Source organism: Homo sapiens, chromosome 10, assembly GCF_000001405.40.
Source record: "Homo sapiens chromosome 10, GRCh38.p14 Primary Assembly".
Lineage (NCBI taxonomy): Eukaryota > Metazoa > Chordata > Mammalia > Primates > Hominidae > Homo > Homo sapiens.
In genome coordinates, this window is record NC_000010.11 from 24599149 (window position 1) to 24626094 (window position 26946).

The 26946-nt window shown below is 37.1% G+C and overlaps 1 protein-coding gene across 28 annotated transcripts in view, besides 1 other annotated feature; it reads right to left on the reverse strand.

Moving 5' to 3' along the window:
- ARHGAP21 (Rho GTPase activating protein 21) overlaps positions 1-26946 on the reverse strand; it is a 140274-nt gene that overhangs the window by 15535 nt on the left and 97793 nt on the right. For 11 of the 28 annotated variants that reach the window (NR_160021.1, NR_160022.1, NR_160023.1 and 8 more), the window contains 7 exons: positions 23585-23614; positions 20325-22221; positions 8597-8755; positions 8351-8453; positions 5164-5200; positions 2830-2955; positions 1498-1782 (listed from right to left, as the gene is read on the reverse strand). Coding sequence is in view for 23 of the 28 variants with exons in the window: in XM_047425560.1 (XP_047281516.1) it covers positions 1498-1782; positions 2830-2955; positions 5164-5200; positions 8351-8453; positions 8597-8755; positions 20325-22221; positions 23585-23614 (2637 nt within the window). In the remaining 5 variants the exon portion in view is untranslated. Of the gene's footprint in view, positions 1-1497; positions 1783-2829; positions 2956-5163; positions 5201-8350; positions 8454-8596; positions 8756-10281; positions 10384-20324; positions 22222-23584; positions 23696-26946 lie in introns of those variants that run through there. The other 17 variants (XM_011519607.3, XM_011519602.3, XM_011519604.3 and 14 more) reach the window with 4 other exon arrangements.
- Positions 13310-13499: a silencer, noted in NCBI's record as "fragment chr10:24901387-24901576 (GRCh37/hg19 assembly coordinates)". NCBI's record gives its function as "represses an EF-1alpha promoter that drives an FKBP-Casp9 reporter gene in an ReSE screen in HepG2 liver carcinoma cells {active_cell/tissue: HepG2}" and the evidence as "EXISTENCE:reporter gene assay evidence [ECO:0000049][PMID:32094911]".

Here is a 26946-nt window from a genome sequence, read left to right on the forward strand (position 1 = left end):
CATGCATTATCTCATTCAATCCTCCAAACAGCCACTATGTGTCACAGAACAAGTCATCTGAAGGAGTTTTAACAATGACAGTCTACTGCCTGAGAGAATGCCTGACACATAGTAGGTGCCTGTTACACAGAACTCCTCTGAACTATTACTTAAAGCTGAAATCCACATCTAAGTTCTTATTCTCCCTGTTTATTTTGCAAAAATTCAGGTCTGATGCCCTCTGTATAGCGGGTAGTTGTACAACATAGGTTGCACTGATAAAGATCTGGTGTTATTTTTAACCACAAACAAGGCAGAGTGTAAACTACCAAAGGAAAAAAAGCACACTTTTCCTATGGTGTAACGTTTTAATACTTTGAATTGGATATAATGGAAATGACTAAATTAGAACATAATTTGCATAAGTTTACATTTAATGTAGGCATTCCTGAGTATTAAAAGAGAACTTCGTGCCCCTTTTTTGGTTATAATAAATAGGCATGAAAAGTGAGAACACAGTGAAGAAAAAACTGTGTTAATGATAAGAAAATACTTGAGCAACTGCTACTTCATCATTGCTAGATTTGCTTGATAAAGTTTATAGTTATACATACTTTAAAAACTATCTTTACTATTGAAATTCCTACTGTGAAAATACCTTGATGATCATAAGCTGTAAATTCTCAAATCCCTAAACACTGTTCTGCATGAAAAAGAAATGCTGGGCCGGGCGCGGTGGCTCACGCCTGTAATGCCAGCACTTTGGGAGGCCGAGGCGGGCAGATCACAAGGTCAGGAGATAGAGACCATCCTGGCTAACACGGTGAAACCCCATCACTACTAAAAATACAAAAAATTAGCCGGGCATGGTGACGGCTGCCTGTCATCCCAGCTACAGGGGAAGCTAAGGCAGGAGAATGGTGTGAACCCGGGAGGCAGGGCTTGCAGTGAGCCAAGATCGCGCCACTGCACTCCAGCCTGGGCAACAGAGCAGGACTTCGTTTCAAAAAAAAAAAAAAAAAAGCTGACTTATGATTTTTGAAAATGCAAGTTTTCTTAGAAACTAACTATTGTGTGACAGTAGGCTATTCCATATTCTTGACTGTATAGTTCTCTTAACAAAAATCATCAGTATCACTCTGCATTTATATAGTTATTTATACTGGTAAGTATTTTTACTGTAACTTAAGCCCTACAACAATCCTGTCTTTGAAAGATGGAAATGGATCTGGAATAACTTGGTCACAAACAACCAGGACTAGGAATGTAGTTCATTGCTTCTGAGAAGGTATACAGCATATATAAATAACCTATTTTTCTAGTTCAGTGATGGTGATTTTCCAATGTGTGAAAATAATATAAAACAGGTATGTTTGAGTTTTCCTTTTCATCAACTGTTTTACATGAAAATAGCACATTATAATTTTTTTATAAAAATGATATATCATATTCCTTAGATCTTTGTAAGAAAGTGTTGTGAAAGGGTCAGATTTCTCCAGCATTCCTTTGAACACCCACCTCTTCGTTTAGGTTGCTGCTCTCCTGGATCGTCTTGATCCAAGCTAGCATATCATCTCTGTCTTCAGCCTGAAACAGGCATTCACAGTCGGACGTGGTGAGTCGAAACACATTTTTCCTCTTGGTCTCACTGTAAGAGATGTCTATCAAGCAAGCATTAACACTGATGGGCTGCTCTTCCTCAGACGGAGTCGTCTGCTCTCTTTTATCTTTGTACAGGTAAAGTGAATGACCCCGAAGGACAACATACATCTGTTTCCATGGCCGAATACTTCCACCAACTCGCTAGAAAACATGCGACAGTTCTTTAATAGTCAATATTTGGCTAAATCTTTGTGACAGGATAAGCACATTAAGCAACACCCTTCCTCTGCATTTACATATAACTAGTGTAGCAGGTGGCAGATTTAGCTCACTACATTATTTGTGAGGAGAGGAAGGATAAAAATTGTGGAGCATAAACTGAGTTAGGCAGTGTATTCATATCAAAGTCAAGGACTGTGAAATCCCAACTTTAGTTGGGAAGGCAATATGAACAAAGCTAATCAAATAAAATAAATGTAGCAAAACATATCAAAAACAGTAACGGAATAGAAAATTTAAAAATCGGTCCAAAAAACCTGTTGAGTGAAAGACTTACGTCTTAGAGCACACAAATGACAGATACTGCAGGAGTTCTCCAACAATTGTATACATAACTAATTAACAGAGTTCATCAACTTTATATGGCTAAGCAACTCTATCCACATCCAAAGTGAGCTTTCTTAAAATTTTTAAACTCTTCTGACAGCATTAAAATGTTCTTATATATAAGCTGTCCAAATATTATAGAAAATTTTTATGGCAAAGTCTTTTTCTGTTGAAATCTACTGGATGCATATATTGATATTTTTATATTTGTTTAACTTAATATTTTTAAAATAAAATGAAACAAAGTTATAAAGGTAATTTAAAATAAACTAAGAAAAGAGACATAAAAATTTAAAACTGATTTGCCACTTCCTAAAGGACAACGGAATAACCCATTGCTAATAAACTAATAAGAAAAGCAGAGTTCCTTTTTAAATACTTAGATTTCCTTTTTACATTGCCAAAACGTAAGACAATATATTCTACATGTAGCTGATACACAGGACAAAAAGTACCAAATTAATGCAATAATTAGAATTTTTTTAAGGAATACTTTTTTTAATGTAGAAAAATCTATTTATAAATGGTTTTTTTTTTCACTCTTTAATCTGGATATCATGCCATTTTATGTATACAGGCTTTATGGTTTATTTGTCAGGGTCTGCATTTCTGACACTCAGGGTGGCTTAGAAAACACACTACCTTGCCCTTATCGGTGACAAGGGGTCGGAAATGAAGCCACCCTTCCTTGGCAGCATCACTGAAGACCTCTGAGGAAGAATCTTTTCTGGACCCAGAGTCTTCTGATGACTTTTGGCTGTCTGCGATCTATAGAAAAGACCAAGAAAACAGTAAAATGTCAGCATTTTCCTTTATAAATATTTGCACATGGAAACTGCTTTGTGGAAAACTTTATTTAATGTTTCAAGTGAAGGGCTATTTTTGAAAAATCCTAACTTTATCTTTTTAAAAATTTCTAGTCTCATTTAAAAAATGTGAATTATCATTTTTTAACCATTAAAAATAACAAATGACGTAATTTTCCTGTTCTTATTAGTTCACATTTTAGTGAAAAATGAGAAAATGATCCGTTTGTGATTTATGTTATTTGAAGAATGAAAACGGCAAGATGCAATAACGAATGGCTGAGAAGCAGCTAGAACCTGGTGATGAGGTGGCAGGGCTACTCTGAAGAAATAATATTTTGTTGAAATTTGGAGGAAAAATAAGGAGCCAGCCATAAAAGGTCAGAGGGAAGAGAGTTTGATGAGAATGTACAGCTACTGACTGTATATCATCATTATCACTTTAAATGTTCGCTGATTAATGTGATCAATAAACAGCTAATTCTAGGTCATTAAGGGTCTTCTAGGCCATGGTAGGAAGTGTGAAAGAAGCATTAAGTGATGAATCGGGGGAGTAACTGATCACCCAGTTCAAAGCTCACTCTGAGTACTCTGTCAAGAGTGGATTCTAAAGGGACACGCGTGAAAAGAGCTGTGACTATAGGAATCCAGGTGAAAGATGACGGCAGCTTGGATTTAAGTAGTATAGGTGAAGACGGGAAGATTCAGGGTAGTCTGGAATTGATATGGGGGAAAGTGAAAAAGAAGAAACAAGGCTAGTTCTGAAATACTTGGCTTCATCAAGAAGGTGAATGGAAGTGAACTTAATGAGATGGGGAAAACTAAGGGATAAGGAAGTCTGGGGGTAACTGCGGTCTAATCATCACGTAAACCTTGAGTTGCTGATTAAACATCCAAGTGACGGCAGCTGACACCAGCTGCAGTTCAGGAAGGAGGTCAAGGATAGCCATGTAAACTTTGGGAGACCTCTGCATAAGATCACTGAGGAAATCGGGGTAGATAAAGAAGGGTCAGAACAACTCTAGGCATTCCAACATTTAAATATCAGGTGGAGCAAAAGAGCCTGCAGAGGGGATGGAGAAGTAGTCTTTCAGTTAGAAGGAAGAGCAAGAAAGTGTGGCAAGATGGAAGCCAGCAGAAGAAAGTGTTTCAGGAAGGGAGCCAGAAATTGTGTTGAATACCAGCGAGGGCTCTAGGAAGTTAAAAACCAAGGTTAACCATTAGTTTTGGAACCTGAATGTCAGTGTTGTTCTGATGTGTGTGGGCTGAGAAGAAGTAGAAACTATAGTTTTTTCAAGGGGTTCTGCTGTGAAAAGGAGTAGTGAATAAAGCAGGATGTGGATTCCAGGAAGGTTTCTATTTTAATGTAGGAAATAGAACATGGGTGCAGACAACAGTGAGTGAATGAGTCACTGGAAAAATGGTGACTGTGCAGAAGGGCACCGAGGAAGTGAGAGGCAAGAGAATCCGAAGAAGTGTGGGGGTTGGTTTTTAATAGGATAATGGTACAAGCACAGCAATATTTATGGTAAGAATAAGGAAGGCAGCAAGTGTGGGTATAAAGGCAGGGGACTGGCTGGGGATGGTGGCTCACACCTGTAATCCCAGCACTTTGGGAGGCCAAGGCGGGCAGATCACCTGAGGTCAGGAGTTCGAGACCAGCCTGGCCAACATGGCAAAACCCCATCTCTACTAAAAATACAAAAATTAGCCAGGCATGGCAGGCGCCTGTAATCTCAAGCTACTTGGGAGGCTGAGGCAGGAGAATCGCTTGAACCCGGGAGGTGGAGGTTGAAAAAGGCAGGAAACTGATATTTTTGGGGATGATAAATAAGGAAATTCCTGTCTAATAGTTTCTATGTTTTCAGGGAAGTATGAGGGGAGGGAGAAGAAAGAGAACAGGGGTGGGGTGGGGGGTGTTGGGGGGAAGCCACAAAATAATTTCCAGGATAGAAAAGCATACAACAAAATACAAAAAGGGCTGCTGGGCAGTTAGGACTGCTGGGCCTTGAACTGATAAAGTCAGAAAAATCAGCACAATGTGTATCAAGTATTACATACTTACAGAATAAAAGATTATAATATTTAAATATTAAATGTCTACTGGGTAAAAGAAGTACTTCTCTATGAAGAGATAAACTAAGGTAAGTAGAAACACTCTAATACCAACCTTGATTCCCTTCAGACTAGATACGTGCTTAAAGGACCTGTTGGGGAAAAAATATATAAATATTTTCAATTAGTGCAAAAAAAATCTTAAAGATGTAAGAATAATTTGAATATTACAATTACTCTTTCAATAATAATCTGACATTTCATCATTATCATGTTAAATGTCCACTATTCAATGGAAGAGAAAAAAAGCTAATTTTATAAAAAATGTTCCACCTAATAATTAAAACTTTCTTAATTGATCTGGTAAATTAAAATTGTTTCTGCTTGAAGTGTGGGATTTTCTTTTTTTTATCAAAGAAAAAGCTACTCAGGCTGAACACTGGGTTTTATGTTATTAGTTAACTGTAGCTGCAATGCTATATTAAGGATTTCCATGATGTTAATTATGATCAGTAAGCAGTTGCCATTAGCAGCCAGCTTCAGGGAGATGCTCCCTGTCATCTCCACTCATCCTGCTGGTGGATACCCTGAACTGGAAATGTGGCAGGGAGGGCACAGTTACAGACAGTCCTGGCCCTTCACTCTTCTACTCTAACCACATTATGACTGCTTTCAAAAAGAAGGACAACTGTTGCCACTGAACAGGCTTAGAGCTTCAGGAGACAGGTTCATGTTAAAGTAATCGAAAATAATTTAACTTTTATTAAGGGACAATAAACTTTTTTTAAACTCAAAATTCATTTAAGAAACTTAGAGTTTTAAGATGTTACTAAAGGTGTCACTGTTTTCTCCTCTCAGAAACCTCCCCCTCAAACAACAATGTAATCAGAAAGATATGCAAACTCAATCTTCAACCATATCAGAAGACACTGTAACTCTGAACTATACCATACAAAGAAGGGTGGCTAACTGCAGTGAAGTAAACAATGGATACGGGAAGAAAGAACAGGGCACCGATCACTTGCAGATCTCAAAACTGCACTACATTGATTTCTGAGAGATTGAAACCAACCCATCCCTTGTTTGGAACAATGGAAAATAGTGTGCTGAAGCTGGTGACAGGAGCCTCATTTGTTACCATGGAGTATCAGAGGAGAATGAGGAAACATACAGTCCTGCCATCTTTGCAGGAAACAGTGTGTAGTTGGTGTAGGGTGCAGTAGACTCTGAAATAACGGCAGTTTTTGATACCTTATAATGAGGAAGAAATAAAGGCTAAAATAGCTCACAAATCCAACCCTGTATCTTTAGGAAAATTCCTGCTACCCTGGAAGCAAGCCCTGCTAGCCTCACACAAACCTCCCTCAAGTAGCTGCTCCAGAAAGAACTACTTTTATTGGAATATAAAGAATAACCAAATGGAACCCTCAGAGGACTGTATGCAAAGATAACAAAAAAGACAAATAGTTCTTTAACATAAGGTTCAGTATCATAAAGATGTGAGTACTCCCCAAGTTAATTTATAAATTAATCATTGTATCAATGAAAATGTACATAAGAATTCAAGAACTAGAAAATCTGATTTTAAGGTTCAAATACTAAAATAAAAATAGCCAGGAGAATTCTGAAAAAACATAAAATAATAGCCTTACCAGGTAAGACAGACATTATAAAACTACCATAATTAATAGAACCTCGTGTACATTAATACACAGATAAATCAACTGAATAGAATAGAGCCCCACAATAAAATTAAATACATATGACTTAGTATATAATAAAGATGATGTATCATCGGTGGGAAAAGGATGACATTCAACAGGTACTTTTGGGACAATAGAGATATTAGAAAATGTAAAGTTGTCTCTTTATCTAATTTGAATAAATTAATTCCAGATGAGTCAAAGTTTACAAAAAAATAAAAAGTAAACATAAATTTTGTTATAATTCTGGAGTAGTGACAGAATTTTTTGATACAATATGACTCAAAATTCAAAGTCCACAAATATTTCCTAAATTTAGCCACAGAAAAAATTTTAAATATTTTTGCATGGTTTAAAAAAAATGAAAAATATTGAATTAGGAAAGACTTGCAACACATCACAGAAAAATGTTAGCTTTCTTTATATAAAAAGGATGCAGAAGTCAGAAGAATCCATAGAAAATAGTCAAAAAATATAAAAAATCAGTTCACAGAAAAATATAAATATCTTAAATATACGAAATGGTGTTCAACTGCTAAGTGTCAAATTAAAACTGCAATATGCCATTATAATAATTAAAAATATATGTATCAAACAATACACTGTGTTAGAGTGTAACAGCAGAGGCTTTTCTATATTGTTGGTGGGAATGTGGTTTGGTATAATTTTTATGGACAGCAATTAACAATAGATATTAAAATTAAAAATATGGCAGGCCGAGGTGGGTGGATCACCTGAGATCAGGAGTTTGAGACCAGCCTGACCAACATGGTGAAACCCGGTCTCTACTAAGATACAAACTTAGGTGGCACATGTCTGTAATCCCAGCTACTTGGGAGGCTGACGCAGGAGAATCGCTTGAACCCGGGAGGTGGAGGCTGCAGTGAGCCGAGATCGCACCATTGCACTCCAGCCTGGGCAACAAGAGCAAAATGTCTCAAAAATAAATAAATTTTTAAAATAAATAAAAATAGACATACCCTTTGATGTAAGAATCCTGTTTTCGATTATATTTATTCACATGTGCTAACCGAACTCTGTACAATATAGTCAATGAAGTATTTGTGATAGCATAAGATTTGATCAATATAAATGTCTATTAATATAGAGTATTGGTTAAGTATATTATGGTATAAACTATTCAATGGAAAATTAAAAAATCATGAAACAGCATGAGCCAGGACTATATGCATTTAAGGATCTCTAAGATCAGTGTCTATACCATGTGTCATTTGTTTGTAAAAATAATTAGAATACAGTACACACACATATATGCATATTTAGGTAGTGTACATATGATTTTATGTATAGAATAGCTCTAGAATTACACAAAAGAAAACAGTAACATATTATGTCTGAATAGTACTGAATGGCTGCAGTTTCTAGGATGAGAGTATTTAACATATTTTTCTACCATGTTTGTGTGTTACTGATTTTTAAAATTCAATTTAATGTTACCATTAACAACTTTATTTATTTGCATTTCTAATGTCAAAGTTAGAAAACATAAGACATCATTAAATTCTGAACTTATGTGTCAAGGTCATGCTGAACACCCACCCACATACAAATATTTAAAATAATACACCCGAGACTTACAATTTTGCATCTTCTCTGTAATCATCCAGACCCTCATCATATGATTTTGATCTTTCTGTCTTTGAGTTGGGCTGAGCATCCAGGCTAGGAGGGCCAACAGATTCTGTAATTAATTAAAATCCAATATTTAGACATTCACAAGTGGTTCCCAGATTCTTTTAACGGTGGAAACATCAGTTTATCATACTATTCTAAGTGGAAAACAGAGCATGAGATACGGTTTACAAAACCACCCTTTAGACGTACCGTGGTCATGTGAGAGCTGACGGCGAATTAATGGAGCTGAAGTTGTGAGGCAAGGAGGAACTGTTGCTATGGAGGGGACCTGAGAGGTAGAGGCTGATATAACAGCAGAGGCAGGGATATGTGCAATATCATGATCAATGCTAGGGCTAGTTGGTTCATCTGTAAGAAAAAAGGAAAATCAGAATGTTCAATGACCTAATTGTTATTAATAATAAAACTCAGTCAATAATCATTATTAAGGGGGTCAGATAAGGATTTTAACACTTCACCACCAAAGCACATCACTAAATGACCTATTCAGTCTGCTAAAAATTGATTTACAGTTATTACTCTAGTAATTCTAAATAATTCTGAGAATATGGTGTAAGAAATTAAATGAGCTGCTCTACCAACCAATTAATGCCTTCACTAACTGATTGTCAAGGTACTAAAGTTTATAGGTACCTCGAACCTAAACCCATCAAACCAGAGCAATAATCATGTAACACCCTGAAAGAATTACTTTTCAAATTTTAAATGTACCACAGATTATCACTTCAGGAAATTAAGGTGATTGGCTGAGGCTCAGTTTTCAAAGCATTAATTCCTAAAACCGTATCCCCGCCTCATCCCTACACAAGTGTATCTCAATTTTTGAAAAGACAAAGTCCAGTCTCTAGCTTCCAAAATAAGTTTCCAGGGCCATTTGCACAAAATTCTTACTCTTATAAAAACATCAGTGATTTAAATTCTAATACTTGAGGCCAAGAAATGTAATTCAATAGGATGCTGGAACGATAATCCTTAAAATTAAATGCCCCAGAATAAAACCTGTTAAAGAATATACTACAATGATAAACCAGGATTTTGATGCCTGGATTTAAAAGGTCCAGCTATTTTAATTTTGATTAAATTCTAAGGATGCTGTACCATATTATCAGGATTTTAATCAAGAGGACTGATAATGTTACAAAAATATAACATTTCCATTTTATGGCCAAAATCAGTAAATTCTAACTGTGTTTAGCTTATTTTCTGTTTTTACAACTTTCTTTAAAAGCAGCTCTTTACATTTTAGGAAGAGAAGACATTTTGAAAATTTCTCTATGCACCACTTTTTACTAAGTATACGACAGTTTACTATTATGTCAGTAAGAATGCAGTAATTCTTTTTCCAAAAGCAAGAAGATAACTGAAGTTTTAAAAATTCAATGAGGATAACAATTTAATTTCACTAAAACTTGTAGTATTTAAAACTGATTTTGATATTTAAATTGCACATGTTTAACAAAGTTTCTTCAAATGATACATCATATAAAGCAGCCTGGTTTTATAGAGTCTGCTGATCCATAATTCTGTTACAGATTAATGAATACTGATGTGAAGAGGAATACACTGTATTCTTCAAAAAGTATCTGACTCATGCAGTATGAATACATCTTTAATTATACTGGGATAAATCTTTGAGGAGAATGATTTTATGCCTTGCAAAACTAAAGAGAGTGAAATTCAAATTGTGCATGGATTAAGCATTATTGCAAAGCATTAAATACAATTTTCAAATTTTGTGTCCCTGGATTTCCTGATGGTATTCATTCAATCTCTTCCAACTTACTATATTTTGGAGAACATTTCTGAAACACACTGGATTAAAATAATCAGTTTTAGATATGTCTGCAAAAACAGGTGGGAGGATAGATACTCACCTGTTCTAAAGGAGGACTGAATGGAGAAGGCGTGGGAGAAGAGACTAACATTGGGCTTACTCATTTCAGTATTGTTGCATTCTTTATAATAAATTCCTTTTACTGGTATGTTAAAAGGAGAAAAGGAAAAGCTAAACATACTTTTAAAGTAAACACAATTACATTACCTCACATTTACAGACTATACTAATCCAATTCTTGATTCCCTTTGAAAATATAAAGACTTTTCTACCGGTTTAAAAATACTGTGTTCGTTAGGAATAATCCAAATTCAAAAACTCTACTTTTCACATACACTTTAATTATTACCAATGTGCATATTATGTAAAAACAAGAATAATTCCAATTTATCTTATTTTCCAATGTAGAAAAATACATATTATTTAGTTGACCAAACGGAAAACAAAAATTTTTCATCTCATATACAAATATATTCAAAAGCATCATGCTGTCACACTTTCAAATGACTTCTAAATTTTTAAATAAAATATTCTGTTAGATGAAAATCAATCATCTTTATCCTAGGCATATCACATACTACATTAAGACATTAAATAATGCATTCAAAACATACTTATGAACTACTGGGGTTACAGATTTATTAAGTGGCATAAACATTCGTGTTAAACTACGTAATCAAAGAACTGACTTAAGAAACGAGGTCTTGGACAGGCGTGGTGCCCACGCCTGTGATCTCAGCACTTTGGGAGGCCAAGACGGGTGGATCACCTGAGGTCAGGAGTTCGAGACCAGCCTGGCCAACATGGCAAAACCCTGTCTCTACCAAAAATACAAAAATTAGCTGGGCATGGTGGTGCGCGCCTGTAGTCCCAGCTACTCGGGAAGCTGAGGCAGGAGAATCGCTTGAACCCGGGAGGCGGAGCTGCAGTAAGCTGAGATCATGCCACTGCACTCCAGCCTGGACAACAGAGGACTCTGTCACAAAAAAAAAAAAAAAAAGTCTTCATTTACTTTCTTCACTAAAAGACCCAGAGCTCTTTATAATAAAAAGAACGGTGAAGGACACCTAAGTTGCTACACATCAAAATTCAATGTGGCTACTGTTCCTTAACATGTAAAAAAAAATACAGGCCTATATATCCAAAAATTTTGCTTTGGAAAACAATGTTTTCCAAAAGTAAATAATCCTCACAGATAAAATCTACTCCATTATTCAATTTGGATTTTTTCCAAATGGAGAGTATTTCAAATTATGTTTCTATTTATTATTCGTATCTGAATAGGAAACTTTCACTGTTTATTGCTTATCAATTAATATTTTAGAAAAACATCTTAAAGATTTCATATTGTGAAAATTCATACATGTTACATAATAATTTCTCAGATATCAAAGCATGAAAGAAGGGAAGCCCTCCTATATGAAGAGTTCTTATAAGTAAGGACCACTAAAATCACAGTGGAAAGAGCGAAACACATGAAAAGACAACTCATGGAAGAAATACAAAAGCCAAATAAAAATGTAAAAAATACTGGTAAAAACCTATTACTGAAATGATCAAATAAAAGCAAGATGAAACAGTGATTTATAACTGTTTTTTCATCTCATAAACTGACAAGTATTTTCACTTTAAGATGTTCTCATCCTATTTGTTCCTCTTCGTGTTCCGCAAGATAACTACAGAGAGTGTCTATGCTTGTCTATCCCAGAGGTTCAGTGGGATTCACAGGAGCGGCTGGCCCTCCTGTGGGCGGGCATGATCTAGGCCTGACCAACCATAGGGCCTATCCCTCTCAATCCACAGAGACTGGCCAAGGGGCGAGAACCACGCAGTCAGGGCCCCTTATATTAATAGTATCTCTAGGATTCAATACATGGACAGTGAGAAAACTATGGACTTTCTCTTCTTATCCTTGGAGAACAAAAACTGTAGAAATCAGTAAACTGTTGAGTTGTCACCAACGGCCACCTTTTCTACTATGTGGAGAAAAAGAATCTGAGAATGAAGAAAGCAAAACGAAAAAAGACTCACAGGCCAGGCGCGGTGGCTCATGCCTGTAATCCTAGCAGTTTGGGAGGCCAAGGTGGGATGATCACTTGAAGTCAGGAGTTCGAGACCAGCCTGGCCAACATGGTGAAGCTCCATCTCTACTAAAAATACAAAAATTAGCTGGGCATGGTGGCACACACTGGTAATCCCAGCTACTCAGGAGGTTGAGGCAGGAGAATCGCTTGAACCTGGGAGGTGGAGGCTGCAGTGAAGCGAGATTGCGCCACTGCCCGACTCCAGCCTGGGCAACAGAGCAAGACTCTATGTCAAAAAAGAAAAAAGAAGGAAAAAAAAAAGGAAAAAGAAAAACTCACTCTTGATGTCATTACTTGGGTATCTGGATCCAGGCATGCATGGAACCAGGTCTACCACAGAAGTTCTTCCCTGTGAGCTAACATTACTTCTTGGCAGGAGCTAATTTGAAATAATTGCCCTGTCCCTGTAACCAAGAGAATTATGATGAACATAAATGTGGAGGGCAATGCATTTCTAGCACCCTGACAAATGTGCATGTCTTCTCATAACACCCAATGTCCACTGTTACAGGTTAGGGCACAGAGCAAAAAAAAGTCCCTTCTAAGGTGAGCTGAGTTATGAGGCACGTTTCTCACAGCTGACCATAATTACAAAGAAGCATATAATTAATGTACTTTATATTTTATGATTATAGTTGACAATAATTTTATGTAACTCAGTGAAATTATCAGAATTTTCAGCATAGACCATGGCAGAATAATCAGTTCCCTGACATAATTCTGCTTTTTATTTCACCTCTGCTACGAAGTAGTATTCCTAACCCCTCCCCAAATTACAGCATAATAATTGAAGGAATATTAACACTATTACTTATTTCAATGACAGAGTAAACTATATATTGCAAAAAGAGGGGTAAATTTGTATAAGTTGAAAGAAATGGCAACTAACCTAAAATTATATATGTGGTTCCAAAACAGCAACAGCATGTATATATCTTTTTACCAAAATATGGAAATTGAATAAGCTGTTTCTGTTCCAACTCCTACCAGAAGGGACATACCTCAAGCAAAATACGCTTAAAATCTTGATTTTTCCTCATCCTTAGGGAAAAGGAGAGGAAATATTGCTAATGGATTCTGTGTCTTAAAAATAAATTCAGGCCAGGTGTGGTGGCTCACGCCTGTAATCCCAGCACTTTGGGAGGCCAAGGCGGGCGGATCACGAGGTCAGGAGATCAAGACCATCCTGGTTAATACGGTGAAACCCCGTCTCTACTAAAAATACAAAAAAATTAGCCAGGTGTGGTGGCGGACGCCTATAGTCCCAGCTACTCGGGAGGCTGAGGCAGGAGAATGGCATGAACCCGGGAGGCAGAGCTTGCAGTGAGCCGAGATCAGGCTGCTGCACTCCAGCCTGGGCAACAGAGCAAGACTCTGTTTCAAAAATAAATAAATAAATAAATAAATAAATTCAAATGTGACAAATATCCTTTCTTTTTATTTGCCTTCTGAGATATACACTCAATTTAAATCAAAGGAGGTGAACGGCTAAAGTTAAATGATCTTATTAATAGTCAAGCATAAGCTCCTTCTTTCAAGTAATAATGTATTAATCTTTGGCAATGCCACTTTTTTTTTTAATCAGAGTTAAGCCCAATGAAATAAAGACATCCTAAAAAATTGAACTCCCTAGGCAAATTTAAATGAGCCCCATTAATACCAATTACTGAACATCAGGTACAAGAGCTGATAAAAATGGCATGCTGGAGCAACTCCATTTACATTATATTTAAAAGGCCTGGAGAAAGAATGTTTAAAAATGATGCTAATATATTCACATGGCCTTCTCATCTTTGACCCAGCAACAGACCTTGAGTAGGCTCACTAAACATTTTTCACTAATTATAAATAAAAATTTTGAAGCAATAAGTCCTGTTTTATATGAACTGGTGATGGGTGCCCATCACCTAGTTCAAATATTCCCAATTTTTACAATAATTAAGCTAATTATCGTAACTGGAATTCAATTTTCTAATTAAGACCAAGTTTCTTTAATGGTCAGTTCTGTGAACATGGATTTAAATTAACATTCAGCTTCTTCAAAGTCATCTGGAGATTTGGTTATCTTAATAACCAAAAGGTCAATGCTGTATCTCCCTATTAGATAGAAATGGTTTTACAGTGGTTAGGAAGGGGAGAGTATTTTGAATAAATTCCCTATTCACGTTTGCCATGGCAAGATGGCAGTCAGTGCTGACGATGAGGGAGTGGAGTTGTAAATCCAAGAGGAACTACTGTGAAGTAGGTATTTGAAAGGGAGGTGACAAAATCAGAGCAAAAGCAGGGATGTGCACAATATCATGGTCAGCTCATCTACAAGAAAGCATGCACCAGGTCAGCACAGCAAGGGCTCTAATTTTACAAAGGGCAAGTGGAAGGATCACTTCTAGATTTGCCACGGTTAACAGGTTACAATTACTTGGCTGAATCTTTGCAGTCCCATAGATCAAACAAGTTAACTGAACTCTTAAGATCTGGGGGTGAGGGTGTGTGTCCATGGGCCAGTGTACAAGCGTGTGTGTATGAAAAATGATCCAGCTTGCCAGCTGACATGCTGTAACAATTTCAACAAATTCAACATTTACTTAGAAATTTAATAAATATCAGCTCACCAATTTCACTAATCTATCTTGAAAATTATTAATTCTCAATTCTAGTACACAGAAAAGCAGCAAGGGAGTAGAAATGTGGATGACTGAGTAGGGAGGTCAAGAGACCTGGTGTGTTCGATTTTGCAAAAGCCACTTAACTTTTCTGGATATTACATTCACTACCTATAAAATAAAGAAGTTGGACTTGGGTAGTGAGAAGGGCCAATTCTAGTTCAAAAGGCCTACAATTACGAATCCACTAAAGGGGTGGAATTATCTATTTAATTTATGTAAACATATAAAACATTTTTAGGTTTTTATAAACCAGGCATTTGTTAGGGGGCTTTTGAGATTTGGGTCTATTTTCAACATTAAAGGAACTAGGTGAAAAGGCTCCAAAGTCTACTTTAGTGAAACAATTTCATAGTTTATAAGAGCTAGGTTTTGGGAGGGCACAGTGGCTCACGCCTGTAATTCCAGCACTTTGGGAGGTTGAGGCAGGCGGATCAGGAGTTCGAGACCAGCTTGGCCAACATGGTGAAACCCCGTTTCTACTAAAAATACAAAAATTAGCCGGGTGTGGTGGCACACGCCTGTAATCCCAGCTACTTGGGAGACTGAGGTGGGAGAATCGCTTGAACCTGGAAGGCAGAGGTTGCAGTGAGCCGAGATCATGCCACTGCACTCCAGGCTGGGTGACAGAGTGAGACTCCATCTCAAAAAAAAAAAAAAAATGCGGCTAGGTTTTAAAAAAAACGTATTTCCCTAAATAAATAAGCATAGCAATCTATAAAGTGTGCTACAAAGAAATTTAAAGTGTTTCAGAATAAAAGTTAATGTGGCCAGGTGCGGTGGCTCATACCTGTAATCCCAGCACTTTGGGAGGCTGAGGGGGACGGATCACCTGAGGTCAGGAGTTTGTGAGATCAGTCTGGCTAACATGGTGAAACCCCGTTTCTACTAAAAATACAAAAAATTAGCTGGGCATGGTGGTGCACACCTGTAATCCCAGCTACTCGGGAGGCTGAGGCAGGAGAATCACTTGAACCCGGGAGGCGGAGGTTGCAGTGAGCTGAGATCGTGTCATTGCACTCCAGTTTAGGCAACGAAAGTGAAATTCCGTCTCAAAAACAAACAAAAAAAACTAATGCTACTATCAAAGAAAAGATAAAAGAGCATCTAAAATTATTTATTGGTGGAACATTTTTGTTAACGAACTCGACACTTCTAAACCATCTGGATATGGCAGTGCCGTTAAGGCTATGACCATCAAATTCAATTTAGCTTAGGCTAACCCTCACTGAGCACACATACAGCCAACGTTGGGGTAAGAGGGAGGAGGAGAAGTCTTAGAGATATGACAAAAGCATGGGGAAGAGATGCCAATTCAAACCTGGGTGATCTGAGCTAATAATAGTCGGCATAAAACTTAGAATGATTTTTCAAGCTAAGATTTAAAAAAGTAAAATCCAAGATTTAAATTTTTGCTCATTTTGAGGCACTGTCCAAAGAATATGAAATTTGCAGCCAACAGGCAATCGGCTCTGTCAGTTCTCTGAGAGAGCTTCAGCAAAGTACTTAACTTTCCTTATCCATAAAACGGGTTATTAATTCTGCCATAAATTCCCCACTGGGTTATGGTAAGGACTGGTACATTATAAAGTATGTGGTAGATTATAAAGCACGGCATAAGTTTTTGTTATTTTATTATTTTATTTTATTTTTTGAGTGGAGTCTCACTATTCTGTCGCCCAGGCTGGAGTGCAGTGGTACGATCTCAGCTCTTTGCAACCTCTGCTTCCCAGGTTCAAGCAATTCTCCTGCCTCCGCCTCCCAAGTAGCTGGGCTCACAGGCACCCCACCACGCCCAGCTAATATTTTTGTATTTTTTTTTGTAGAGATGGAGTTTCACTGTGTTGGCCAGGCTGGTCTTGAACTCCCAACCTCAAGTGATCTGACTGCCTCAGCCTCCCAAAGTGCTGGGATTACGGGCGCAAGCCACTGCACCCGGACTATTTTATTATTTTTTAAATTACCTCACATCGTTACTCAAATAGTGGAAGCAAAAATCTCTAAGCTTAAGTACCAATGGCATCACATTTTTGGGAAAAGCCAATATATGAAAAAGACATATAAAGATGATAAGTACATGATTTCTCTTTATAAAAGATGTAAGATGATAAAGTATATGATTTCTCTTTATAAACAGACTATTTGCTAAGACTCAGCCTGAATTAGTATTAAAGAAGGGCTGGGTGCTCATTGCATCGTCCTGTCATATCACCACTGGCACTGAGCCCAGAGCTCCCAAAGGGAGAAACTGGGTATAGGGAATGGTCACCTCTTCCCTTTGGGTAAATTTCAGGGAGCTAAGTTCCCCTGTATGGACAATGTAATCCAGCTATATCTTACCAAATCTAACACTTCTAAATCATCTTGATATGGCAGTGCCAATAAGGCTGTGACCATCAAATTCAATTTAACTTAGGGCTAACCCTCAACTGAGCACACACGCAGCCAATGTTGGGGTAAGATGGAGGAGGAGTCTTAAGAGATATGACAAAACTATGGAGAAAGAAAGTTAAGATGAAACCCTGAGTGTAGGTAACAGTCGTAGCATTTTTGTATTACTAGTAATGAGTGGTATAAATTAGAGAAGTGTAGGAAGTCAGGATTTTAGAACACATTGTAATATCTGCTATTCACCGTGAGATTACTCATGAACAGCTCACATTGTTGAGGTTTGTGTTTACTTATAAAAGAAGTTGAAATTTATTTTCAGGACTTACTATGCAGCTTTATAAAGTGGGGGGTGGGAACAGTAAACAAAATACTGTTAATGAGTAATATTCCAAATTTAAAAACAAAATGTATTCATTTTGTTTTGTATGCCTGTATGCCTCCTGCAACCTTAGTATATAGCAGGGGTCCTCAACTCCTGCGCTGCAGACTGGTACTGGTCCATGGCCGGTTAGGAGCTGGGCCGCACAGCAGAAGGTGAGCAGCGGGGGAAGGAGGGCGAAAGTCAAATAAGATAGGAACTAATTAGAGAGTACTTTTATTCTTAGTAAATAAAATTATTTATTTACATCAATCTATATGTATATAGAATTATACAGATCTTTATTTTCTATTTTAGCCAAAATCTTCTCTTTAATAACATAATTGTTTTATTTCTATACTTCATAACTAGGAAGAAATATTAACAGATATATCCAGCACATTTTTTTACTACTCCAATGTAATCTGATTATATTGTTGTTATTATGTAGGAAGAAAATATGATGCCACTGTTCTGATAAGATCGCATGGGCCTGTGAAACAGCCACAGGTTGTAAGATTTTTTTACATTTTAAAACTTCATAAAACAATCATTCGTCATCAGTTGCCTTCTATAAAATATCTATTCTAGATGATGTATAAGATTCCATCTACAACAGGAGTCTACTATTTGCTGAGCTTGGCCTTAGGGGTATAGATATGAATATGGGTACAATTTAGGTTGAGATTCCCCACAATGTTGACAACTTGAATATATCCGATTTATAAAAAAAAACATAAGCTGTGTGGAACTTTTTAAAAAAGCTTTTAGTGTCACCTATCCAATTAAGTGTTTTCTCAAGAAACATTTTTAAAGCTATCAATAGCTTTACAATTGATAGCTTTAAAAATGTTTCCGTAGAAAAGAAACAACAGTCCTCAACAGCTTTAAAAATGTTCCCGTAGAAAAGAAAAACTCAACTAGTACTCAAAGAGAAGCATATTATATTGTAAAATGATGGAGAACTCTTTTCATAAACCCATGGGACACCAGGGGGACTACAAGTATGGCCTTGGTTGGTGGCAAAAAGAGAAGGAAAAAAGCCCCTGCATCGCATGCCTCCAGGGGGCGCTCTTCACAGGCATTCCATATAAATGGCGTGCTCCCTGGAGCTGTGCTCTGGGACGAGGCTGAATGAGGCAAACCTAGAGACCCTGTCTCTTATCACTTACTATGCGATTTTAGAGATGTTATTTAGCCTCTCTATACCTTAAATTTCTCACTTATAAAATGAAGATAATATTAAGGACATAAGTCATCACCTGTTAGCAGATGATGTTTTAGAGCTGCACAGTCATGATGAGAACTGTATTGTTGTGCTATACATTTAACCAGCATTTCAAAATTGTCTTTCAGCCATTATCTCAACAAATACTTACTGAGTGAATTCTTTATGTGCCACGCAGTGTTCTAGGCATTAGGGACACAAAAGTGAACCAAAGATTTTAAATCTCTGCTCTCATGTAGTTTATGTTTTAGTTCTACTGAGAAACATGTAACAAAAAAACAAAACATGTCAAGTGGAAACAGTAATACGAAGATAAATAAAAAAGCTTAAGGGAAGAGAATGTCCGTTTCTGTGTCTGTGCGTGGGATACCTGTTTTAGATAGGTGAGTCACAAAGCCTGCTTGGATAAGATCTTTGAGCAGAGACCCAAATGTCATGAGGAAGACAGAGGCTTGTTAACTATCTGTGGAATGTATACCAGGGTTAGAAACCAGCTGTACCTGTCCCTGTAGCAACACACACCTGACAGCAAGGAGGCTGGTGAGGCTGCAGATGGGATGCACATGGAAGATTGTGATAGGAGATCACGAAGTAGGATCTCTCTGACACCATCAGAGAGGGAGTTGTGAGGCAGACCATGGAGGGCCTTTCAGATCACGGGAGGATTTTGCATGCTATTTTGGGTGAGATGAATGGGAAGGAAACAGAGGGTTCTGCACAGAGGAGTGGTGTGATCTAATTGACATTTTTAAAAACATCACACTGGCTGCTGTATGGAGAACAGATCTGGGGTGGGAGGGAGCAGACAGAAGACTCAACAGGACAGGTGCCGGCAACTGTGGCACACGCTTATAATTTAAGTAACTTCTCTAAATCTGTTCCAGGATTTATAGTATGGCAAACTAACTTGACAATGAAGAGGTCTTTTCTCTCAGTACACGTTAAATTTACAAAGAAATATGTTTTAGAAAGTAAAAGCACTGTTTAAATGAAAGGTTGGTAACTAATTATCAAAACTGTTCCACTTGGTTTTTCATTCACCTGAATCAACAATTAGGTATAATTTGCTTCGCTGATTTCCTTAATCTCAGGAATTTGTTTCATCAAAATAAAAATTTGAAATGGGTACTAGGTACATGAAGTTTTTGTTTTTTTTTTAAAAAAAGGAAAATTGGTACTAGAAATAACTTTTAAAGAGGTTTGTGAAAGCTCTGGTTGAAGCACAGCTTATGAGATTCACTAGAAACATTTTAAAATCACAGTGTAAGACTTCTATGCCTATTGAACTAGAAATAATACTTTTCTGGAAAGATTTCTTATACATTTGGCATATTAGCCAATGACTCTAAATGAGCTCACCTATAAATGGGATGGAAGCCAAAGAATCGCCAGGCGGACTGGTACTCGAGGCTTTTCTTTCCTCCATTCTTTTTATGTGGACCTCTCGACGTGCATCATTGGGCAGCCAGCAGGTAGTGTCTGACCCGGTCTCCTGGTCATTTACTGCCAAGATGTAAGACTGATGCCTTAAAGGCTGCGGTGTCTGGCGTCCAGATGGAGGTTTTTCCCTTAGGATGACAGCTTCTTTATTATCTAAAGTATCTGATTGCTCAGTTTCAGCCTCTTGTAAACTTAAATCTTGATTCCTTTGACTGACAGGTAGTTCTAAATCTGAAGTACCAGCGTTTTCACTCGACTGAGGGGCAGGCTTGGCAGAGGCTCCAGATAAAGAGGGGGATTTCCCAGTCTCCACTTGCTGATCGGGGGCACTGTCAGTCCTTACCCATGTCTGCTGATTCAACAGACTGTTCTGATGCAAGTGATTTACTGGTCTTTGGTCTTTGATAGAAACAAATGATTTCTGGCTAAATGATGGTTTTGTGACATGCGTGGAAGGAGCTTTCAGAGAATTACTTCGGACTTTCACAAGAGGTGACCTGTCTTGTGAAATACCCCGAGGCAGTGACATTCCACAAGTAGTCTGAAAATTTCTGTTTGACTGCAATGTTTTTAGATCTGGTGGAATTTTTTTAAACTGCGACACAGATCCCACTCCTCTACCACTCATTCGCCTGTTATCAGAATTAACAACGCTTGGAGCCACAGTAAAATTGGAACCTCGAAAAGATTTATGAATTTCTTGCTGCCTAGGTCTTTCACAAATACCTCGTCTATCATCCTGTTCAGTAAACCCACTCCACTTGTAAGTCTGTTTTTTCTCTCCATTGGAATCAGGTATTGGAGTTCCAGAATTGACATTTTCTAAGGTTTCATCCTGTCCCTCAATATAATCCCATGAACGAGTTCTATGATTACTAAAACTAACAGATGGAGACGTCAGTGCTCCTTGAGATGCACTTCTTGGACAATACTTCATTAGCACAGAATCTTCCAGTCTTTCTTGGGACACACTGCGTTGCCGTATCTGGACAGACTGGGGCACTCGATCATGAGAGGTGCTTCGACGTCGTCCCTGCAAAGTAGTGCGGTTGGGGACGACCTGGTTATAATCTGTCGTGCTTTGAGATGCTGCTCTTAAACTATCTAATCTTTCTTGTATTGTCCGACAACCTATGTGCAATCGTCTGTTATCAATATACTCTTTGTAAGTTTTATAGTTTTTCCAGTCTATGTGCTGATGGGAATTTGGCGAATAGTGATTAACAGATACAGAGGGAGCCTCCACAGCTTGAGATCTGCTGCTTGAGATTCCATCAGAATGTCCACTGTAATTTCCAGACTTAAGTAAAATTCCAGAAGGTTCCAGTGATCTGGAGCCTGCAGGCTGATGAATTAGATGAGTGGTGGGAATTGATAATGGTGGTGATGTGGTTCTTGACACTGTTTTTAAAGAGGTCTGCTCACTCACGCCATACCTCACTTCTTCAGTTCTATGTGAAGGACCTGTATGGTTGTTTCTATTGGATAACAAATCTACAACCTTCTCAGAAGGCACAATGACAGTCCTTACACTTTCATTGCAAACACACACTGCTGTGTTTGATTTTGCAACATCTGTTGGTGATGGAGGCACTTGTATTTCCATTCTATAGGCCCTACCAGGTTGTGTCAGTACTGGTGTACTGGTTTGCTGTTTGCTCAATGATGAGTCAGGAGGAGATATTTCAACTGGCTGTGCCATGGCTGATGGGGCAGATGGCAGCCAGGGATAGCAGATTGGTGGAGGTTCAGGTATATTGCGGGCATTGCCGCTATAAGCTTCGTTGCCTTTCAGGTAGGCATCTTGAGAATATGCCTGTATAGAAATGAGAGGAAGGTGTCACTGGAAATTCATAAAAAGAATAATAATTTCCATTTTTACAGTGCACTATTTTATCTATGTCCTACCTCGTTCCTGAGTGACATTCACTATAGCATGCATGCAAACACAACATAAGGGTACTCTACAAATCTAGAAAGAGCTAGTCTCTCAGAAATCAAATAAACTGTAGAATCTGCAACACATACAAATTACAATCACCTCTTTGCTCAAAACATGTGAAACTCATCAAATTTCTACCCAACCAATTAGATGTACCCACATTACTTCTAAAATTCTCCCCATTCAAGCCTTCTGAGTTTCAGCAGTTGACAGGTTAAATGGCTGCCAAATAAATCCCAGCAAAGGAAGATTCATGTATTTTGCCAGAGAAAAGGTGAAAATATTAAAAATCTTAAATGCATTTTAAGTACTACTACTATAATAAATTAAGTCTAATTTATTTGAAGCATCTTGTCAATTAACCATTACAGAGTCCCTAAGAATAATCCATTTTGACAAATTAAGACCTTCAGCAGCCATGCTAAGTATTTTAATATTTAAAGTAAGATAATATGCAAGTTTAAGAAATAAAGCACATATAATAAAGGCAGAAAAACATGAAAAAAGGTAACTCATCGTTCTGTATATAATTTATATTTTTATTTTAAGCTAATGCAAAAGTATATCATACAAATTTATTTGGTCTCCTTTACTTATTATAAGGAGACATTTCTCTATTACTAACAGGCAGGCATGCAGCCTAAATAGTTTTTTATCAACTATTTGTAAAATTATTCAGCAATATTTTTAAAGCCTTAAGAATAACAGAAATCAACTATAGAGACTTTACAAAACAGAGCTCATCAGTGCAACACAGGGACTATGTTCAGCATCTGAGACAGATGTGGTAACACATCTTCCCCTAATCAAAACAAGCTTAACTCAAGACTATCATCACATCCTGCTCTTTGCATTCGACAGCTTGCAAAGCTCAAGTGCAGCCACAAACGTAACAGCAAAGTAGTAGTGACAGGAAGAGGGTGAGATACTTAAAAAACATATATATATATATATATATATATATATATATATATATATATATATATATATACTGATGCAGATAAATATTACGCTGTAGCATCAGTTATGTACAGGATACAAAAGAAAACCAAACATAAAAATAAAAAATAAGGATGGCAAACCATCTATCACAAACGTATTCTGCAAATTAGTAAGATTAACACGATAGAGGGATTTCTCTAAGCAAAAGTGAACAGTTTTTAATAGATTGGCTTATTACAAATCTCTACAAAACATGACTTAAAAAGCAAGGAAATGGCTACTGTGCATTTCTTACCAGTGCTGTGACATCCTTTGTAAACTGTAGCTAGCAGAAAATAGGAAAACATAGTAGAAGCTGCTTACTGATATAAAGACAAAATCATGTTGTCATATTGATGCTGGAAACGGCAAGCTAAAAATACATCTATACTTGTTTCTCTGGAAGGTACCAAGAGAGGTAAAGGGCAGTGAAGCATAAAGAATAACTCCAGTATTCTTCTGAACATCTTTTTCTCAGGCTTTTATCTGATTCTTGTTTGATGTGTCTACCATTCTTGAAAGCAAAATACATCTGGTGACATGCATTCCTAACAGATATTTTCTTCAATATGCACTGCTGTCTGATAACATGCTACAAAGCTTCCCTCCACGAAAGCAACAGTGATGTCTCTCATTTCCCCCCAGCTTCTTCCATCTCTGCTTCCAGATGACGAAACGAATGCTCTATTATGCATTTAAAATAGTACAACCTCCTCCTTCCCCAGTAAATCAGAGCATAACCACAAGCTGTCAGCAGACTGCAGCTGCCTTTACACTAAGATTCAGGGGGGAAAATGACTTCTTTTAAGTAAGTTTCACTCAAAAATTAAGATCTTTCAACACTGTGCCTTTTGTACTATTGTATTAGTTTGCAAAAATAACTACTGGATAGACATAAAAATATTACTTCCAGAGTAATTCTTGTTAACCTATAATAAATATTATAGAACAGAGACTAGAATGCAGTGACAAATTAAAGCTAGCCATATAAAATAAAATATGTCTACATAGTATTTTTATGGCATGAATACAGTTAATCCCAACATGCATTTTGGGTGTGTGCATTGACACACCAAGTCTATCTTTTCCATGCTGATTAGAATCATACCAATACTTTTCTGCAATAGGAAAATTGTGTCTGGATGAGAGAATACTGTACTGTCTGGTACAGCATTTCCCACAACATCCTTGTGTAGTTTTATTATATACCACCTGAAAAGGAGGATGGGGGAGAGGAGGTCCCTATGGTCAATGATGTAGGGCCACTTGGCAAGCTTTTTGATTTCTCAAAACCACGACGACACTAATGTACATTGTGAAATTCGAAAGGAAAATATAAACTTATTCACCATGGAGGCCATTTTTTTCCCAGAGGTTTTAACATAATTAGAATATCTACTTGGGTAATGCTATTCTAGAACTAATATTTTAAAGATGACTCCTTTATTCAAATTTGGGAAGAAATATTACTGTTTAGTAATAGAAGTATACGGCTGGAACTATTAAAACTTGAGAATATTTTACATACTTCAGACATCTCTAATATTCCTGTATGGCAATTCTAAATGCTAAATAGTCTACATTACAGTCACAGGTCCCCACTTCTGAGTTAAGTTATCACAAGGGGCCCTGAAATCCATACAAATGCAGGCATTAACAGTGAACATCTCACACATGCAGTACTATTATCTAATGTAAGCAGATATGGTTGAGATAAAATATGAATTCATTCAAGAACATTTTTCACAAAATGTACATTGTGAAACTCAAAAGTACAAACTTACTCGCCAGGGAACCCATTTTTTTCCCCAGAGATTTTAAAATAATTAGAATATCTGCCTGGGAAATGCTGTTCTAGAACTTTTTTTTTTTTTTTTTTTTGAGACCGAGTCTCACTCTGTTGCCCAGGCTGGAGTGCAGTGGCGCAATCTTGGCTCACTGCAACCTGTGCCTCCCAGGTTCAAGCAATTCTCCTGCCTCAGCCTCCTGAGTAGCTGGGATTACAGGCATGAGCCACCATGCTCAGCTAATTTTTGTATTTTTAATGGAGGTGGGGTTTCACTATGTTCGCCAGGTTGGTCTCGAACTCCTGACCTCAAGTGATCCACCTGCCTCGGACTCCCAAAGTGCCAGGATTACAGGTGTGAACCACCGAGCCCGGGTAGAACTAATATTTTAAAGCTATCTCCTTTATTCAAATTTGGGGAGGAATATTATTTTTGAAACCAATGTCATAAGAATTACATATTCAGTATTAACAATTTTGAATTTTAGTTAGGCTTTAAGCCCAAATGGATACTTTACAACATATGAAAGTGTTTTGATAGAATCAGACAACATTTAAATTTTTCCCAATTTACTAGCTCTTGTGAATTCAACAGAATATGACAAAACATTTTTAGCCATTTTTTCCACTCAGCCTTTTTGTATACCACTTCACATTCCTTCTTGAGCTTTCTTTACCCTTGTACTTAAGTATTACACCTTTTGGAGTTTAACAGCTTGTATTTTAAAAACTGAAGCCTTCCCTAACAGCCCTGTTTTGCCTATTAGATACAAAAAGCTCTAAAAAGTGGGGGGGGGGGGGGAGGAGGAGGAGGAAGAAAATAAGAAAGATGACCCAAAGAATTCTTTCTTTGTAATTAGAACTCCAAACAGTATGTTAAATACAACTTAATATTAACAGCCTGGATCTTGATTATATGTACAATGCCTAATAGTAACTAAATAACCCTAAAATAATCTCTAGTTCATTTTTTATACAGTCACATCAAAATCACCATGACCATACCTATGATAAATGGTAAACAAAATGAAACAGAGAAAAAAAAAAAAAAAAAAAAAAAACCTGAAGAATAAATAAGGTGGTAAGATTAAAATTCCTGCCTTTCAGTTCACCTTTAACAGGTTATTAATTTAATGCCTTTACCTATGATAAAAGCAAGAGTAACTTCATGTTTGTTGGTAGATGCCAACCATGCCAGCATAGGGAATGGGAGAAGGGGATGGTGTAGATGGAGAAGGACTTTCTTTTTATTATACCTTTCTGCATTATTTCAAATATTTTCAACCAGCACATACTATTCTTGTAATTATTTAAAAATAGATTTTAAAAAATTACAAAGTAAACTGCTGCTAACCTGCAAAATATGAAAGAACCCTCCAGAATTCATACTCTTGCTTCCCTCACTCTAGGCCGGACCACCTACATGTACACTTGACAAATGGCTACTTAAATAGGATATTGTACTGATAATAGAACACATGAAATGCTTATTTTAAAAGTAATTCTAATAAACTTCAAGAAAAACTTAGTTTAAATTACATTTTTCAAATTATCACATATCCATAGAGCAGCAAAAAAGAACACTGGACTCAGAACCCAGAGGTTCACGTTGTAATAACAGCTCCAACACCAACTGGCAGGGTGACTTATGGTAAGCCACCTAAACAGTTCATCTCCACTCAACAGCAGTATAGGACTGTGGTTTAGAGTACAGGCTTTCATCTCAGACCCGCCCGAGTTCAAATCCTTATACCATTTGCTTTCTTCCTTATTATACCAGACATGCTGTTTAACTTTGCTGTGTTTAACATAGAACAGCATAAAGTAGGTTT